The following is an 18,583-nucleotide window of genomic DNA, read 5'->3' on the forward strand; positions in this document are numbered from 1 at the left end:
CTAAATTTTTATTTTAAAAAAATTTTAAAGGATTCAAGTTGTAGAAAGAAAGTACATTCTCTGACCACAGTGAAATTAAAATTAAAATCAAGGCCGGGCACAGTGACTCACGCCTGTAATCTCAGCACTTTGGGAGGCCAAGGCAGACGAATCACCTGAGGTCAGGAGTTGGAGACCAGCCTGGCCAACATGGTGAAACCCTATCTCTAATAAAAATACAAAACAGCCAGGCATGATTTTGGGCGCCTGTAATCCCAGCTACTCAGGAGGCTGAGGCAGGAGAATTGCTTGAACCTGAAAAGTGGAGGTTGCAGTGAGCCGAGATCATGCCACTGCACTCCAGCCTGGGTGACAGAGCAAGACTCCATCTCAAAAAAAAATTTTTTTAAATCAATACTGAAAAGATCCTCAGAAAATCCCCAAATATTTGGAAACTATGTAACATGCTTCCAAACAAAATATGGATAAAAAATAAATCAAAAGGGAAATCAGAATGTATTTTGAACTGAATGAAAATTAAAACACAACATACCAGAATTTGTGGAGACAACAAACTAGGAATAGAAGAGAATTGCTCCAACCTGATAAATAGCATCTATGGACTACTCATAGCTAGCAACATACTTAATGACAAAAAACTACAAAATTTCCCCCTAAGATCAGGCACAGGCCAGGCACAGTGGCTGATACCTATAATCCCAGTGCTTTGGGGGCTGAGGAGGGAGGATTGCTTGAGGTCTAGAGTTTGAGACCAGCCTGGGCAGCATAAGTGAGACCCTGTCTCCTAAAAACTAAAATAAGAAAAAAAACAATCAGGAAAAGTCCAGGCACGGTGGCTCATACCTGTAATCCCAGCACTTTAGGAGGCAGAGGCAGGCAGATCACGAGGTCAGGAGATCGAGACCATCCTGGCTAACATGGTGAAACCCCACCTCTAGTAAAAATACAAAAAAAAAAAAAAAAATTAGCCAGGCGTGATGGCGGGCACCTGTCGTCCCAGCTACTTGGGAGGCTGAGGCGCGAGAATGGCATGAACCCGGGAGGCGGAGCTTGCAGTGAGCCGAGATTGCGCCACTGCACTCCAGCCTGGGCGACAGAGGGAGACTCCGTCTCAAAAAAAAAAAAAAAAAAAAAAAAAAAAAATCAGGAACAAGACAAAGATGCTTTTCTCCATTTCTGTTCAACATTGTGCTGAATGTTCTGGTGAGGGCAATCAGGCAAGAAAATGAAATAAAAGACATTCAGACTGGAAAGGAAGATGTAAAACTATTGATATTTTATTGATATTTACAGGTGACATGATCTTGTATACAGCAAATCCTAAATAATCCACTAAAAAATTTCTAGAACTAATAAGCAAGTTCAGCAAGGTGGCAGGATAAAAGACCAATATACAAAAAAAATTAATTATGTTTCTAAACACTAGCAATGAACAATCCAAAAACAAAGAGGAAAAAATAGAAAAAATAGAATTAAGAAAATGATTTCATTTTCAACAGCATCATAAACAATAAATAATTATGAACAAATTCAACAATAGATGTGCAAAAGTCATACTTGAAAATAACAAATATTGTTGAAAGAAAAGAAGGCCTAAATAAAGAGAAAGATATCCCATGTTTGTGGATTGGAAAACAGTATTATTAAGATGCCAATACAGCCAGGCGCAGTGGTTCATGCCTGTAATCCCAGCACTTTGGGAGGCTGAGGTGGGCAGATCACCTGAGGTCAGGGGTTCGAAACCAGCCTGGCCAACATGGCGAAACCTCATCTCTACTAAAAATACAAAAATTAGCTGGGCATGGTGGTGGGCACCTGTAATCCTAGCTACTTGGGAGCCTGAGGCAGGAGAATCGCTTGAACCTGAGAGGTGGAGGTTGCGGTGAGATGAGATCGTGTCATTGCACTCCAGCCTGGGTGACAGAGTGAGACTCCATCTCAAAAAAAAAAAAAAAAAAATACCAATACTTCCCAAAATGATCTACCTATTCAATGCAATTCCTATCCAGATTCCAGCAGGCCTTTTTTTTTTGTAAACATTGACAAGCTGATGTTAAAATTCATATGGAAATTGTCAATCTTGAGAAAGAAGAGCAAAGTTGGAGGACTCACACTGTGAGTCCCAATTTCAGAACTTACTACAGAGCTACAACAATCAAGATTGTGTAGTACTGTCATAAGGACAGACATAAATCAACTGAATGGAATTTAGTGTCTAGACACTAATCCTCACATTATGGCCAATTGATTTTCAACAGTGCCAGGACTCTTCAATGGGGAAAGAATAGCCTCTTCAACAAACAGTGCTGGAACGACTGAATATTCACATGTAAAAGAATGAAGTTTGACCTCTTCTTCACACCACATGTAAAAATCAATTCAGAATGGATCATAGACCTAGAAGTAAGAAGTACAACTATAAACCTCTTTGAAGAAAATATGAGTAAATCTTCATGACCTTGGTTTCGGCAAAGCCTTCTTAAATATAACACCAAAAGCACAAGCAACAAAAAAGTACATAAATTGGGCTTTCTCAGAATTAAAAACTAGAAATTCTTCATTTGGACCCTATAAAAAAGGAAAGACAGCCCCCGCCCCACCCAGAATATTTGCAAATCATGCTGCAAGTTTCCGAAGTGTAATGAACATTTGACTACCTGTGAAGTGATGAGCCAGTTATTGGGCTATAACTGTAAACTCCTCCCCCCTCCCCACCATTTATTAACCACAATAATCCTGTGACTTCACAATATCCCCTCTTTACAGATGAGGAAACAGAGGCTCAGAGATGTGACTCGCCCAATAGAGTGTGATGCTGGTATAGATGGAACGGGGATTCAGCCCCAAGTCCCTCTTGTCTCCAGCTCTCTTTCCATCACCCTGTATTGCTTGTTGGAGAATGCCAGACATAGAAGATCTGCAGCCTTGTTTTACGCCAGGGGAAACTGAGGTCCAAGAAAGGAAATACTTCTCCAAGTTCCCGCTGCCGCCTCCTGCCTCCTGATTTGTTGCTGTTTGTTACAGCAAACTACAGGGAACCTATACGATAAAATCTCACTCATCTGGGCTTATCTAATGCAAAGTTACATGAACAATCATCTATTTTAAAAGAAATAATTTGATTACTCTTTAATTTGTGAGGGAAGGAATGTTGGGCAGTAGAAAGGACATTCAAGTTTATAACCTGAAAGATGTGAATTTGAGAACTGACTTGTACTTTATTAATTCTGGAATCTAGGATATATGACTACGCTGTGCCCCAGTGTCCTCATCTCTCACATGAGAGGGTTGTGCTTTACCCACCTCTCCCAGTGTGGTGGGGGCTCAGGCAAGATGAGCAATGCCACTGGGCTTCAAAGACGATGGAGTCGGCACAAGTGTAGTAATTGTTTCATGTCAAAAGGACGAGGGCTAAAGTTGCTGAGAAGTAGAGCTCTTTTTGCTTCTCTCTCTCTCTCTTTCTCTCTATAGAAATATTACTGTTTTAATTTAATGAGACGGCTGGACGTGGTGGTTCACGCCTGTAATCCCAGCACTTTGTGGGGCTGAGGCGGATGGATCACCTGAGATCAGGAGTTTGAGACCAGCCTGGCGAACAGGATGAAACCCCATCTCTACTAAAAATACAAAAGTTAGCCAGGCATGGTGGCAGGCACCTGTAATCTCAGCTACTCTGGAGGCTGAGGCAGGAGAATCGCTTGAATCCGGGAGGCAGAGGTTGCGGTGAGCCAAGATCGCACCACTGCACTTCAGCCCGGGCAACAAGAGTGAAACTCCGTCTCAAGACATCATAAATTAATTAATTAATTTAATGAGTCACTAAAGATTGCTGATCCATTGTGGGCAAACAGGTACTGCTTAAGTGTTTGAAAAGTTCTTTTATTTTTTACTTCTTTGAGACAGGATCTCACTCTGCCAGCCAGGCTGGAGTGCAGTGGCACAATCATAGCTCACAGCAGTCTTGAACTCATAGGCTCAAGCCACCACACCTGGCTAATTTTTAAAATTTTTTGTAGAGATGGGATTTCACTATGTTGCCCAGGCTGGTCTTGAACTCCTGGCCTCAAGCAACCCTCCCACCTCTGCCCCCCAAAGTGCTGGGATTACAAGTGTGAGCCAACGCACCTGGCCTGATAAGTTCTTATAAGTGGATTTGGCAGTCTGTGAGAGCCTGGCTTGTTTATGGTGATGTGCCTTTCCCATAGCTAGTGCCCAAGTCAGCAAACTTCCCTTGGCCTGTTCTTGTAAATAAAGTTTGACTAGAACACAACCCCACCTATTTGCTTATGTGTTGTTTGTGGCGGCTTTTGCCATACAATGGCAGAGTTGAGTGGTTGAGATGAAGGCTGTATGGTGGCCCACAACGTCTAAAATATTTTGAGCACATGACACCTGTTACCACCTCCAGGGGAAGCAGTCCCACTGCACAGAGGATAGCAAAGCGTACTAATGCCTGCCACTAGGAGCGGCAGTCCGAGAATCTCAACCTACTGCATGGTTTGCTGGTGCTGGGGTTGCCAAGAAAGCCACTTGCACAGGCCTTGGATGGCACAATGCTTTATTCACCTAGAGAAGAGACAGAGCAAGATCAGCCTCAACAGTCAGCATCCAAAAGCCAAAATTGACAAATGGGATCTAATTAAACTAAAGAGCTTCTGCACAGCAAAAGAAACTACCATCAGAGTAAACAGGCAACCTACAGAATGGGAGAAAATTTTTGCCATCTACTCATCTGACAAAGGGCTAATATCCAGAATCTACAATGAACTCAAACAAATTTACAAGAAAAAAACAACCCCATCAAAAAGTGGGCGAAGGATATGAACAGACACTTCTCAAAAGAAGACATTTGTGCAGCCAAAAGACACATGAAAAAATGCTCATCATCACTGGCCATCAGAGAAATGCAAATCAAAACCACAATGAGATACCATCTCACACCAGTTAGAATGGCAATCTTTAAAAAGTCAGGAAACAACAGGTGCTGGAGAGGATGTGGAGAAATAGGAACACTTTTACTCTGTTGGTGGGACTGTAAACTAGTTCAACCATTGTGGAAGTCAGTGTGGTGATTCCTCAGGGATCTAGAACTAGAAATACCATTTGACCCTGCCATCCCATTACTGGGTATATACCCAAAGGATTATAAATCATGCTGCTATAAAGACACATGCACACATATGTTTACTGTGGCACTATTCACAATAGCAAAGACTTGGAACCAACCCAAATGTCCAACAATGATAGACTGGATTAAGAAAATGTGGCACATATACACCATGGAATACTATGCAGCCATAAAAAATGATGAGTTCATGTCCTTTGTGGGGACATGGATGAAGCTGGAAACCATCATTCTCAGCAAACTATCACAAGGACAATAAACCAAACACCACATGTTCTCACTCATAGGTGGGAACTGAACAATGAGAACACATGGACACAGGAAGGGGAACATCACACACCAGGGCCTGTTGTGGGGTTGGGGGAGGGGGGAGGGATAGCATTCGGAGATATACCTAATGTTAAATGATGAGTTAATGGGTGCAGCACACCAACATGGCATGTGTATACATATGTAACAAACCTGCACATTGTGCACATGGACCCTAAAACTTAAAATATAAAAAAAAAATAGCATCAGTCCCCCATGGCCAGCGGGTCTCACTTGGGAACCAGTGCTCACTATTGCACTCTTGCAGCCCCTCTTTTGTGCTGCAGGTGAGGGACTCTGTTCCTGTTCCCTCTCTGCCAGGAACACATACAGCAGTGGGCTGGCCAGGTGTCATATGACACCCGTGTCTAAGCAGACTAAAGAAGTACACATCAGCCAGGCGTGGTGGCTCATGCCTGTAATCCCAGCACTGTGGGAGGCCAAGGTGGGGGTGGATCACCTGAGGTCAGGAGTTCGAGATCAGCCTGGCTGACATGGTGAAACCCCATCTCTACTAAAAAAATTAAAAATACAAAAATTAGCCGGGCGTGGTGGCAGGTGCCTGTAATCCCAGCAACTTGGGAGGCTGAGGCAGGAGAATCGCTGGAACCCGGGAGGCGGAGGTTGCAGTGAGCCGATATTGCGCCATTGCACTCCAGCCTGGGTGACAGATCAAGACTCTGTCTCAAAAAAAAAAAAAAAAGTATACATCAAGGCCAGAACAGGAAAAGACATTTCCAAGAGAGGTGATATACCCAGCACAGGCTTTGAGGGTTCTTTACTTTCCTGTATGGAAATATTCCAGGCCAGAGGCAGGCTCTTATGCAACCACACAAGGGCCGGCAGCCTGTGTCTGCCTTTCCCAACATCTTTACTATCTGTCCCCTTACAAGAAAGAGTTTGCCGATCTCCAGATTAATGTGATATGCACTTCAGCCCGCAGAGATCATGATGGCTTCTGAGTTATTGGGTTCTGAATTAATGAGGTTTCTGTGTATTTCCTAACATGTGCTATTTCAAACTCTCAGATACTTAGATTGGGCAGTTCTCCTCTCCTTGGCCCAGGGGCCCACTGTGTCATTGTGGCCTGTCAGATCTGCATCCGGGCTCAAAGCCAGGTTACATGCATTCTGCTTCCCTGGATAGGATCTCTGTGACATTGCTACCCTGGAGGATTTGTTTCTACTTCAATTAAATCAGATTAGTCCACTCACATGCTCTTGTCTTGGGCAAAGAGCCCTGAATTTGGAACCCAGTTGAAGTCCCAACTCCATCACTGCAGAACTGGGTGACTTGGGACAAATCACTGCTTGGCATGGGGCTGACGTATCAAGAAGGCCTAAGTATTTCCGCATCTCCCTGGAAGCCTTCTCCCCATGTTTAACATGAACAGCTGCAATGAGAGACAGCACTGGGATGCTTACAGGCAGCAGCTCCAGACCCCCATGATCTGAGTTTAAGTCTGGATCTCATTACCTAACCTGCTCTTTGGCCAAGTGACTTCACTTCCCTGTGTCTTGGTTTCATCATCTGTACACTGGGAAGGATAATAATAGGCTCTATCTCATAAGGTTATGGGGACTTCATGAATTGCTATTGCTCAAGTAACAAGCTATATATCTGCCAAATCAATACAAGTTGTTTGCTGATACAGAACAATCTGTGTAAACTCAGAGAGTGACAGCCTGAGATGGGGCACAGCTGGACCCAATCAGGAGGTCCTGGAGTATGAACTGTGTCCGCTTAAGGTCACAGCTGTTGTAAGAAGATCCTGGAGAAGGACCCTGGCCAATTGCAGGAGGGTGGCCAGGCCTCAAAATCAAGTTCTCCCAGGAAGGAATGGATGATGGGGAACAGTTTAACCTGTAAGTGAAGAAAAAGCAAGGACAGTGGGACTCAATGGCTCTGGATGAAGATGGAGCATAAAAATGGTTCTTGCCTTGAGGTTAAAACTGGGGCAAGAGACGGATGTTCCAGTGGGGAGGGCTTCTGCCCCATGACCAGGAAGACATGTTGGCCCCACCGAGGCTGGCTGACCCTTCTCGGCTGGGGTGCTGTAAGGAGCTTCTTGGTTAAGGTGCAGAATGGGATGAGATGAAGCATGTAAGGCCCCTCCCAGATCCAATGGTCCAGACTAATATTTCTGTTGGCTTTGAGATTGGACTGCTGATAAGTGTGGTAGGAACAAAGCCATTGCTATTTTAACATTCCAAACTTTGAAGCTTGCCAAGAACTTTATAAAGAGTGTCTGCTCAAATTTCCCAGGCCGCCTCCTGATGAAGTGCTCAGTGGCCTGACATTGCTATGAGACCCTCCCCGCTTCCTCCCATGGATTATGACACAGGGATGGTGATGACAGCTCCTGGCAAGGTCAGGAGTCAGCTCAGCCTGGCCTGAGTCATGGGAAAGTAATTTATATGAGAGCTGTCATTGCTTAAGAACCCAAAGTAGGTAGGACCTCCAAACTCTCTTGATATTTGCCATAGTTGCCTTTGAAACCTCAAAAAGGCCATCCAGACCTGGCCCCTAGTTTACCCGGAATGCAGTGGTGTCTGGACTTTATTTGAATGGCCTGCAAGTCTGTAAAGTCATTCCTAGTGGTAGATTTCTTATCTCCTCAGCCAAAACAAGCACAGAGAGTTCTGGTTATGAGGCAATAAAGTTTATTAGGCTCTGGGATTACATTATAGCATGACCTGTTATACACGGTTTCAGAGATGCTGTGGTTCCAGTCAAGCTCCCCCCACCATCATCTACCCGGCCAACAATGGAACAGACTGGTAGTGAACTCCTGGTCCCTGGAGGCAGCAAAAGAAGCCACTTACCTGAGAAGTATGTTATAGAGGGTATTCTGCAAACTTAAGTAGAAGAGGGGCTGCAACCTTCAATGCCTACAAAGGCTGAGAAGGCAGTGAGGAGGAGGGAATTTGGCCCACTTGGACAGGAGAGACAGATGGTGTGCCTGCCTCTGCAGACGGCCACTGCTCAGGTCAACCAGGTGTTGGCATGCCGGATTGCATCGCCAGATTGTCCGATTTTTCTAAAAGGAAGCTGAAAACCTAGATTTGTATGTAAGAATCTCTCGATTTTAAATGTTGGAAACTAATTTGGATCTTGTTGGAACACCAGTTTGCCACTTTTGCAAGTAGAGTTACTCTCTGCTGAGTATCTAGGGCAGGAGTCTGCGCAGCTGACCGCGGTCTCAGTAAGAACCCCTTGTTATAAGAAGAATCTGTTAGCCTTGGGTCACAGTCTGTAGCTTTCTTCAAGTTCATCCTGGCCTGCCACCTGCAGCCTTGTGTGGAGCCATTGGCCTGAGGGTGAAGGGGCCTTGGTTCTGGTCCCAGCCCTGACACTGATGACCTGTGTGACCTCAGGAAAGTCTCTGTCCCTCTCTGGCCTGTTACCCCTTCTGGAATTAGCCTAGTGTGTCTCTGGCCCCTGCCAGCTCAACCAGTTTAGGCCTCCACCTGGGAGAAACCCACAGTGGAGAATTTTCCAAAGCAGAGCTGGTTCTTGATTTGGGGTAAATGATTGTTTTCTTTCTTTCCTTCTTTCTTTTCTTTTTTTTTTTTTTAATTTAAGAGACAGGGTCTCACTCTGTTACCTAGGCTAGAGTGTAGTGTGTAGTGGTATGATCATAGGCCACTGTAACCACAAACTCCTGGGCTCAAGCAATCCTCTGGCCTTGGTCTCCTGAGTAGCTGGGAGTACAGGCAAGCACCACCATGCCCAGCTAATTTTCACATTTTTTGTAGAGATAGGGTCTTTGTATGTTGCCCAGACTGGTCTCAAACTCTTGCCCTCAAGCAATTCTCCTGCCTCGGCCTCTCAAAGTGTTGAGATTATAGGCTTGAGCCACGGCATCCGGCCTATTTTCTAGACTGATTGTGCATCTTTAGGTATTTCCAAAACTGAGAAAATAATTTACCAGAAAGGAGGCCTCCCAGTGACTTCCAGCATTTGTGCCGATGGCTGATGGAGTGACCTGTTAGCATTTGTCAAATGCCAGTGGTGAAGGTTAGGTGGTGACAGAAGGTAGATGGGGCTTGTGACTGACGGAAAACAGCAGGTGAGGGGTCACCCCAGAGGCCTCTCATCTCTGTCCTTACTTACTGCAGCCTGGGTAGTCCTTCCTGTCTGTGGGCCTCAGTTTCCTCCTCTGAAAATGAGAAAATCAGTTTGGCTGGATGGTTTCTGAGTCCCCTTTGAGCCCCGGAGTTCTGTGATTCCAACGAATTTATGTTTCAAAGTTGTAGTTTTATCAGCTGCACAAGGACTTAAATCTTTTTTTCAATTCAACAGATGTTTCCCCTTCCTTCCTCCCTCCCTCCCTCCTTCCTTCCTTCTTTCCTTCTTTCCTTCCTTCCCTCCCTTCTTTCCTTCCTTCCTTCCTTCCATCCTTCCTTCCTTCCTCTGCCTTTCTTTCTCTCTTCTCTTCTTTCTTCTTACTCTGTCATCCAGGCTGCAGTGGCACGGTCATAGCTCACTGTAACCTTGAACTCATACAGATGATCTTGGAGATAGCTCTTCTGAGGCCTGCCAACAGGTAGTAAATGAGTTTGGAATTGGACCCTCCACCAGCCGAGCCTTAAGATGACCACAACCAAGGCCAACACCTCGTGAAAACCCTTGAGTCCGAACCACCCAGCGAAGCCACAGAAACAGAGAAACCACTATTAGTTCCAGCTGCTAAGTTTTTGGGTCATTAGTTCAGCAGCAATGGGTAATCAGTGCAGCCCTTCTGCCACGAGCTGAGCTCTTGGGGCTGGGGCTGGGAAGGGAAGGGTTAACCCCAGAGCCCAGACTTTCAGGTGGGCAGCAAGGTTAGTGCCTCCAGCTTGGGGGACCGTTCATTACAGAGTTACCCAGTGGTTCAACCAACGTTTGGGTCTGCTGCCAGCTGGGCCTCAGCCCTCCTGTGGCACCTGTCAGGGCAGGAGCATTCTGTTGTGGGGGGCGGGGGGTGGGGGAGGAGGGACATTCTGGAAACTGACTGATTCATTAGCAGCTTTGCCTCCCTGCATCTGCCCGCGATGCACCAGCTGCAAGTAGAGCCGGCACAGCTGATCGGCCTGTGTTCCTGGCAGGGGTCAGGGCTGCCTTGACTCCTCAGCTCCCGACCCTGGGCCTATGGTTTTGAGTCCAGAGGGAGGTGTTGAGGAGCTCCCCTAAACCCCAGAGACTGCTGATAAACCAGGCCCACAGGCAAGGCGCACCTCCTGGGTGCCATCCCCATCTTGTTTAATCCTCATGGTAACCCTCCCAAAGTAGGCATGCCCATCAGCGCCATGCTGCAGGAGGAAACCGAGGCCCAGGTTTGTGCAGCTGGAACGCACAGAGCTCTCTGACTCCAGAGTCCACCTGATCATCCGCTCTGCTTCCTTGGCCCCACCATGGGGAGCATGATGGATGTGGTGCCTCAGTGGTTTGGGGGAGCTGCTTCGAGGAAGAAGGTGGGAGAGTTGAGGAGGCAGGGCTCCTGACCCCCCTACTCCCCGCTCCACCGAAAGCAGCTCTACTACTCTGTGCTATGCCATTAGGGGATCGGGTACAATGTTTCACAGTGTTTCACAAATGTGTGGTCTGAACAGAGAATGTTCCAGTCCCAAGTCCCCATACCGTGTGACCTGAGGAGCCAATAATAACCCCTGTCTCCTGAGGAATTATGGAGAATTCAGTGAGGTCAAACAGGCAAAGCTCAGAACACAGTGCCAGGCACACAGTGAGAGCTCAGTGTGGTGGTGGTGGTGGTTGTGGTGGTTCAAGGAAGGATTCGCTTTAATCAAAGGGCCTGTGGTATGGAGAAAACATTCCTCTAGGCAATGGGGCGCCTTTGGAGGCTTCTAACAGAGTGACCTCCCTCAAGTTTGTGTGTGGAGAGGCCTCCAGCCCAATGCCCACCACATGGGGGAGCCGTGTTCTCTGCCAGAAAACTTGAAATAGGAAGATAAGCCTGGTGGGGCGGGGTTAGGGGAAAGGGAGGAGAAATAACCGTTGTGGGTTTTCTGCGAAAGCAGAGCCTAGGGGAGGTTGAATGGACAGTGACAATATTAGGGATTGAAGTGGAGCCATAAATCCTGGCTCATTATCCCCAGAAACCAGAGGGATCAGGTTGACTTGAAGAGGAGCCAAAGGTAAGAAGAGAGGCTGGCTCCCAAGGTGAGAAGAGCTGAGGTCCAGCATGGGGAAGGACCAGCCTCTCCCTCTGAGTCCAGGTTCTTTCTCTGGCACTCCTGGAGGCAGCCCATCCTGTCCCTGCATGAACCCTGCCAGTAATAGGGAACTCAATGACATGTGCAGTAGCCTGTTCTCACGAGGTTCATCCCTGGATGTTCAAAAGAGCTTCCTGCCTGCCGAGTGCAAACCTTCCCCCAGAAGCTTCATTCAATAATTCAGTAAGTCTCTGGGCACCTACCATACGCCCTGCCCTCATGAGGAAGGAGCAACATAGCACTGAGCAAGACAAAGTCCCAACTCTCAAGGAGCTTAGGTTCAGCTGTAGGAAGGCAAATATTATACAATGATATCACATAATGCCAGATGATAATACGGGCTATGACAAAAATTAAAATAGAGTGACATGACATAGTGACTACCCTTGATAGGGTGGACAGGGAAAGTCATGAAACATTTAAGGGCAGGCATAAATGACAAGAAGAGACTAGCTATGGCAAACTGCATTTTCCAAAGATGGCTTGAGCAGTATCTCCCATCACATTCACTCTTATGCAGTGTGACTCACCACTCCTTCAGCAAGAGATGGAGTCTATTTCTCCAGCCTTGATTCTGGGTGGGACCTGTGATTGCTTTGACCAATGGAATAAGGCAGGAGTGATGCTGTGTTATTTCTGGATGTAACCTTTAATTACTCCAGTAGCTTTTGCTTCTGGGTTCTTCGGACTCTGTTTCTTAGGCCACTTCCTCTTGGAATCCAGCTGCCATGCTGGGAGAATTCTAAGCCACATGGAGTGGCCAACCATGTAACTGGGCTCTCAGCCAACAGCAAGCGTCAACTGCCCACCATATGAATGCGCTGTCTTCCATCCAGCCCTCGAGCCTTCAGATGACTGCAGCCCTAGCCCCCATCTGACTGCAGCTGCAGAAAGAAACACTCAACTGGGCACAGTCAACCCCGGAAACATAATAAATTACTGTTTTGTTTTTGTTTTTGAGATGGGGTCTCACTCTATCACCCAGGCGGGAGTGCAGTGGTGTGATATCGGCTCACTGCAACCTCCACCTCCCAGGTTCAAGCAATTCTCCTGCCTCAGCCTCCCGAGTAGCTGGGACTACAGGCGCCCGCCACCATGCCTGGCTAATTTTTGAATTTTTATTAGAGACGGGGTTTTTCCATGTTAGTCAGGTTGGTCTCGAACTCCCAACCTCAAGTGATCTGCCTGCCTCGGCCTCCCAAAGTGCTGGGATTACAGGCGTGAGCCACCATCCCCAGCAATAAATTACTATGTTATGTCTCTAACTTTTAGAGTATAAGAAATAAGTAGAACACCACAGAATAGCTTTGTGCAAAAGCCCTGAAGAGGGAAAGAGTTTGGGATATTTTGAGAAATCAAAAAAGTCCAGTTTGGTTACAGCAGAATGGGTGACTGGGGAACTGACAGAGAGAGGCAGGAGTGCGCCAGACCATGCAGCTCATAGTAAGGACAACAGGGAGACATTGAATGGCTAGGCAAGGGCATGCATGATTGGATTTATGTTTGAGAAACTCCCTCTGGCTGCAGGGAGAAGAATGAATTCTAGGGGGTTGTGGTATTTTTTAATAATGTTGAATTTTGGGAGGCTAATATTCATTTTTTATTTATTCATTTTTTAAGAGACAGGATCTCATTCTCTGTCACTCAAGCTGGAGTGCAGTGGCTTGATCATAGCTCACTGCAGCCTTGAACTCTTGGGCTCAAGGGATACCGCCACCTCAGCCTCCGAGGTAGTTCAGCCTCATACAATGAATTGGAGTTTATTCACTCTTTTTCTATTCTCTGGAAGAGATTATCAAAGATGAATGTTAGATAGCACTTACCAATGAAGCCATCTGAGGTTGAAGTTTTCTTACTGGAAGGGTTTTAACAACTGATTCAATTTATTTAATTGTTAAAGGACTATCTAGGGTTTTTTATTTTGTCTTAAATCAAAATTGGAATGTTATACCTTCTAGTATGTTGCTTATTTCACTTAAAATTTCAAATTTATTGGATCAAAATTTTTCAAAATAGCCTCTTTTTTCTTTAATGTTGGCAGCATCTGTAGTGATGTTCATTTTTTATTTCTAATATTTTTGTGCCATTTCTCTTTAATTAATCTTCATGAATATTCATCTTTTAACTGGAGCATTTGGTCTTTTGATATTTAATATAATTTATCAATGTATATGGGTGCAAACCCACTAGCTTATTTTGTGATTTCTCCCCTCCCCTCCCTCTGTCCCTCCCTCCCTCCCTTCCTCCTTCCTTCCTTTCTTCTTACCGCCTCCTCCCTTTCTCCCTTCCTTCCTTCCTTCCCATTTTGAACTGATTACTTTTGCGTTCTATTTCCCCTCTCCACTAGTTTGGGGATTATGCACTGTTTTTATTCTTTTAATGTTATCATTGAAATTACAACATGAATATTTAACTTACTGAAGTCTAAATATAATCAGTACCATTGCTCTTCTTCCAGGCCTTAGAACACTGCTACTCTAATTTGACATATACTCCATGGTTTTGGTGTATTCTAATTATTTTTTTAAAAAAGATAAACTCTACAAGACATTAATGTTATTGTTTTATGTAGTCAGTGCTCAGCTAGACTGGCAGATGGATTGATCATTTCTTTGTTCTTCACTTCTCCTTTCATCTCAAGCCTTCCATCAGTGTTCGTATTTCTTCTACATAAAGTGTACACTGTAACAAGTTTCAACAAGCAGAATGTGCTCTATTCTTTTTTGTCTGAGCATGCTTTTATTTAACCCATATTCTTGAAGTACATATTGATGAGCATGGAATTTTAGTTGGGTAGTTAATTTCTTTCAGCACATTGAATGTATCATGTTACTATCACCTGGCTCTGTTGTTGCTGTTGAGAAGTCTTCATCACTCTGTCATTTCTTTGAAGGTTATTTTTCTTATTTTCTGGTTGCTCCTTAGATTTTTCTCTTTGTCTGTGATGTTTTTCTCCTTCACTGTGATGTCTAGACGTGGATTTATTCTTATCACTTTCCTTGAGATTTGTTGGGATTTTTGAATTTGTGGATTAGTACCTCTCATCAGTTTTGGAAAGTTCTCTGTCATTATTTCTTCAGTTAGTGTGTCTGCCCCATTTTCTCTCTTGTATTTTTCTGAAACTGCTATTAAATAGATGTCAGATATTTTCAGCCTCTCTTCCATGTCTCCCAACTTCTCTTTTATGTTTAACACCTATCTACTTCTCTGTACTATATTCTGGATCATTTATCTTCTGCCTCACTCGTGTTTTTCTTTAGCTCTGTTTAATCTTCTATCAAACCCAACCATCGACTTCTATGTTTCAGTTATTGTATTTTTCATTTCTAGAAGTTCTATTTGGGTTTCTCTATTTTTTCAGTTATTAAAATTGTTGCAAAAATATGTAACATAAAGTTTACCATCTTAACCATTTTTAAGTTTACAGTTCAGTGGTACTAAATACATTCATAATGTTGTGCAACCATCAGTATTTGGTTCTCTTTTAATTCTGCTGGTACTTTTCATGGTTTCTGTTCCCAGTAGATATTTGTAAGGTAACATGCCTTCCTTCCTGCGGTGCCCCATCTAGATTGCTAATCCTCACTTATCTGTACCCATCCTCCCAAATCTGGAGGTAAGTCTCATCTCCTTTTAAAACCTTTGACTGGACAGTCATGGTAGAAACTAAAGCCATCATCATTTAATCATTTTGTGTTTACTCAAAAAACAAAGAAACAAACAAACTTCTATTAAGTTCTAGGCTGTTCTCTAGGGCATGCAATAATGAATCAGGCCTGGAACCTTCCATGGAGGACCTGTTTCCCGGGGGGAGGCTGATATGAGAAAAAGGATATTTAGAATGAATTCCACATACCTTCTTTGAATGCCAGCTGTGTGCTGGTCACATTGCTGGGTTCTGAGTAAGCAGGAGGTAAGATACAATCTTCTTCTCAAAGTTTGTAGTAGAGTAGCAGAGATGAATGGGCCCTTAAGTAATCATGTAAAATGTCAAAAATGCCAGGCACATGATTGGTGCCTTTTAAATAATCTCTGAGTGAATGAACGGTGAATTGGCGTGGGAGTTCAGAGGAGAGAAAAATTTTTTCTGATTGGAACATATTAAGGAAATCTGTAATGGCATTTGAGTCAGGCCTTAGAAATCTGTTACTTTTGGACATCCAAAGACATAGGAGAAGGTAGGGGCAATTCAAGTAGGAAAACAGCATGAATAAAGGCATGGACTGTCTTTTTATTTTAAACTGCTCTATTGAGATATAATTCATATATCGTGAAGTCCGCCTGTTTGAAGTGTACAATTCAATGGTTTTAAGTATACTTAAGAGTCGTGTGACCATCACCATAATTTAATTTTAGAACATTTTCATCATCCTAAAAGAAAACTACTCATTAAGTCATTCCTTATCCTCCTGCCTCTCCCACCACCACAGCCACAAGCAACCACTAATCTATCTTCTATCTGTTTATTTATTCTGAACATTTCATATAAATGAAATCGTACAATATGCAGTCTTTTGTGACTGGCATTTTTCATTTACAATAAAGTTTTCATGTTTCATCCATGTTGTAGCATATATCAGTACTTTATTCCTTTTTATTGCAGAATAATATTCCATTGCATGAATATACTGTATTTTGTTTACTCCTTTATTCACTGCATTCAAAGAATGGATGTTTACTATCATCCATTGATAGACACTTGGGTTGTTTCTACTTTTTGGCTCCTGTGAATATTTGTGTACAACTTTTATGTGGGCATATGTTTTTTATTCTGTAATTCCACCAGGAATGGGATTGATAGGTAAAATGGTAGCTCTATGTTTAACCTTTTGAAGAACTGCCGAACTGTTGCCAAAACAGCTGCACCATTCGATGTTTCCAGAAGCAGTGTATGAAGGTTTTAATTTTTCCACCTCCTTGCTCACACTTGTTATTATCTGTCTTATGGATCATAGCGTTCTGCTGGGGGTGAAGTGGCATCTCTTTGTGGTTTTGATTTTCATCTCTTAGTGGCTAATGATGTTGAATGTGAGCACCTTTTCATGTGCTTATTAGCCATTTGTATAGCTTTTATGGAGAAATGCCTATTCAAATCCCTTGCCCATCTTTTTGGGGGGAGGGGGACAAGGTCTCACTCTGTCACCCAGGCTGGAGTGCAGTGGTGCCATCATAGCTCACTGCAGCCTCAAACTCCTGGGCTCAAGGGATCCTCCTGCCTCAGTCTCCAAAGTAGCTGGGACTATTATGTGCCACAGGTCCAGTTAATTGTTTTTTTGTTGTTGTTTTTTAGAAATGGGGTCTTGCTATGTTGCTCAGGCTGGTCTTGAACTCCTGGCCTCAAGACATCCTCCTGCCTCAGCCTCCTAAAGCACTAGGATTACAGGCATGAGCCACTGCACCCAGACTATTTACCTTCCTATTGTTGAATTGTAAGGGTTCTTTATATATTCTGGATGCTAGACTCAGATATATAATTTGCAAATGTTTCCCCCATCCCACGGCTTGTGTTTTCACTTTATGGCATTCTATGAGATGGAAAAGTGTTAAATTTTTATGAAGTCCAGTTTATCAGTCTTCTCCTGTATTACCAATGCTTTTGCTATTATATCTTATGTTCTGTTTTGTAATGTGGGGTGAGTCCCACGGGCGGGTTCAGTTTGTGGAAACTCATCAGGCTGTTATAATTTGTACTTTTCTGTGCCTGTAAGACTTCAAAACCCAGTTGTAAAAAACAGGACTGATAATAATTGCAGCTTCCTTTACTGGCTCATCGTGAGGACTGGATGGGCAAACATACTCATAGTGCTTAGCACAGAGCCAGCCACTGCTTAGTGCTGACACGTGGGGGTGAAGTTGTTACTGTAGTTATTGTTTTTTTGTTTTTGTGCTTGTTTTTGTTTTTGAGATGGAGTCTCGCTCTGTCGCCCGCTGGAGTTTAGTGGTGCGATCTTGGCTCACTGCAACCTCCGTATGCCGGGTTCAAGCAATTCTCCTGCCTCAGCCTCCCGAGTAGCTGGGACTACAGCTGTGTGCCACCATGCCCAGCTAATTTTTTGTATTTTTAGTAGAGACAGGGTTTCACCATGCTGGCCAGGCTGGTCTCCGGCTCCTGACCTTGTGATTCACCTGCCTCGGCCTCCCTAAGTGTTAGGATTACAGGCGTGAGCCACTGCGCCCGGCCTGTAGTTATTGTTAAAATCCAGCTCTGTCCCTTGTCGGGTGGTGATCTTGGCCCTAAGTCACTTTACCTTGTTGGCCCTCACTCTTCTCATCTGTAAAATAGGTTAGCACCATCCACTTCACCAGGGCCACCAGGGCCCCCAATGAAACAAGATGCGACATCATCAGGCTTGAAGTCTGCCTCCAAGAGGGCCTCACAAAAGCTTGGGTTCATGAAACAGGGAAGAGGAAAGAGAAAAATCAGACTCATGATTGAAGAGGGAAAATTGTCAGTGCGGTGATGAGTGTTTGGGTGCCTGCCACGAACTGGGTGTGGGGCGGCCCCTCAGAGTTTCCACAAGCAGGGTTGGCCAGGCCTGGGAAGGAATGAAGCGGGAGTTGGCCAAAAGAGAGTTGTCTTCCAGGGGAGTGGGGTCTGGTGGTGCCAGGGCGCTCAGCTTGGGCAGGGCTGGTGTACAAATCTTGGCTTTAGGCCTGGCTGGGCAAAAGTTGATTGACTCTCAGTGCAGAACAATCAGAAACCAAACCTCCCTCTAGCCCCTGGCCCCCCACCCCCATTGGTTGCCCCTATGTGATTCCAGTCTTCCTGTCTTCACCCAAACAATCCCACCCACACCTCCCCTATTCCTTTCTTGTTCTTGAGGTCTCGCTCCCTGCCCCCATCACCAGGTCAGGTTTTAAGAGGCCTAAAACTTATACCATCGGAGGAGAGAGTTTCATTAAAGTAGAACATGTATAGAGAGAAGGCACAAAT

At 44.6% G+C, this 18,583-nt stretch overlaps 1 long non-coding RNA gene across 1 annotated transcript, besides 2 other annotated features; it reads left to right on the forward strand.

The window, feature by feature from the left end:
• Positions 7,518–7,812: a silencer, noted in NCBI's record as "tiled region #2618; K562 Repressive non-DNase unmatched - State 8:EnhW". NCBI's record gives its function as "represses a minimal TATA promoter and a strong SV40 promoter by Sharpr-MPRA in K562 cells {active_cell/tissue: K562}" and the evidence as "EXISTENCE:reporter gene assay evidence [ECO:0000049][PMID:27701403]".
• Positions 7,749–12,609, forward strand: LOC124904899 (uncharacterized). The gene is made up of 2 exons (XR_007067580.1): positions 7,749–8,266; positions 12,351–12,609. It is a non-coding gene; the product is annotated as an uncharacterized LOC124904899 (long non-coding RNA).
• Positions 9,784–10,283: an enhancer, noted in NCBI's record as "H3K27ac hESC enhancer chr20:36740455-36740954 (GRCh37/hg19 assembly coordinates)". NCBI's record gives its function as "activates a minimal SCP1, AML or CMV promoter by ChIP-STARR-seq in primed H9 embryonic stem cells {active_cell/tissue: H9 hESC(primed)}" and the evidence as "EXISTENCE:reporter gene assay evidence [ECO:0000049][PMID:30033119]".
• Positions 12,610–18,583: the final 5,974 nt, after the last annotated feature.

This window comes from Homo sapiens, chromosome 20 (assembly GCF_000001405.40).
Source record: "Homo sapiens chromosome 20, GRCh38.p14 Primary Assembly".
Classification (NCBI taxonomy): Eukaryota; Metazoa; Chordata; class Mammalia; order Primates; family Hominidae; genus Homo; species Homo sapiens.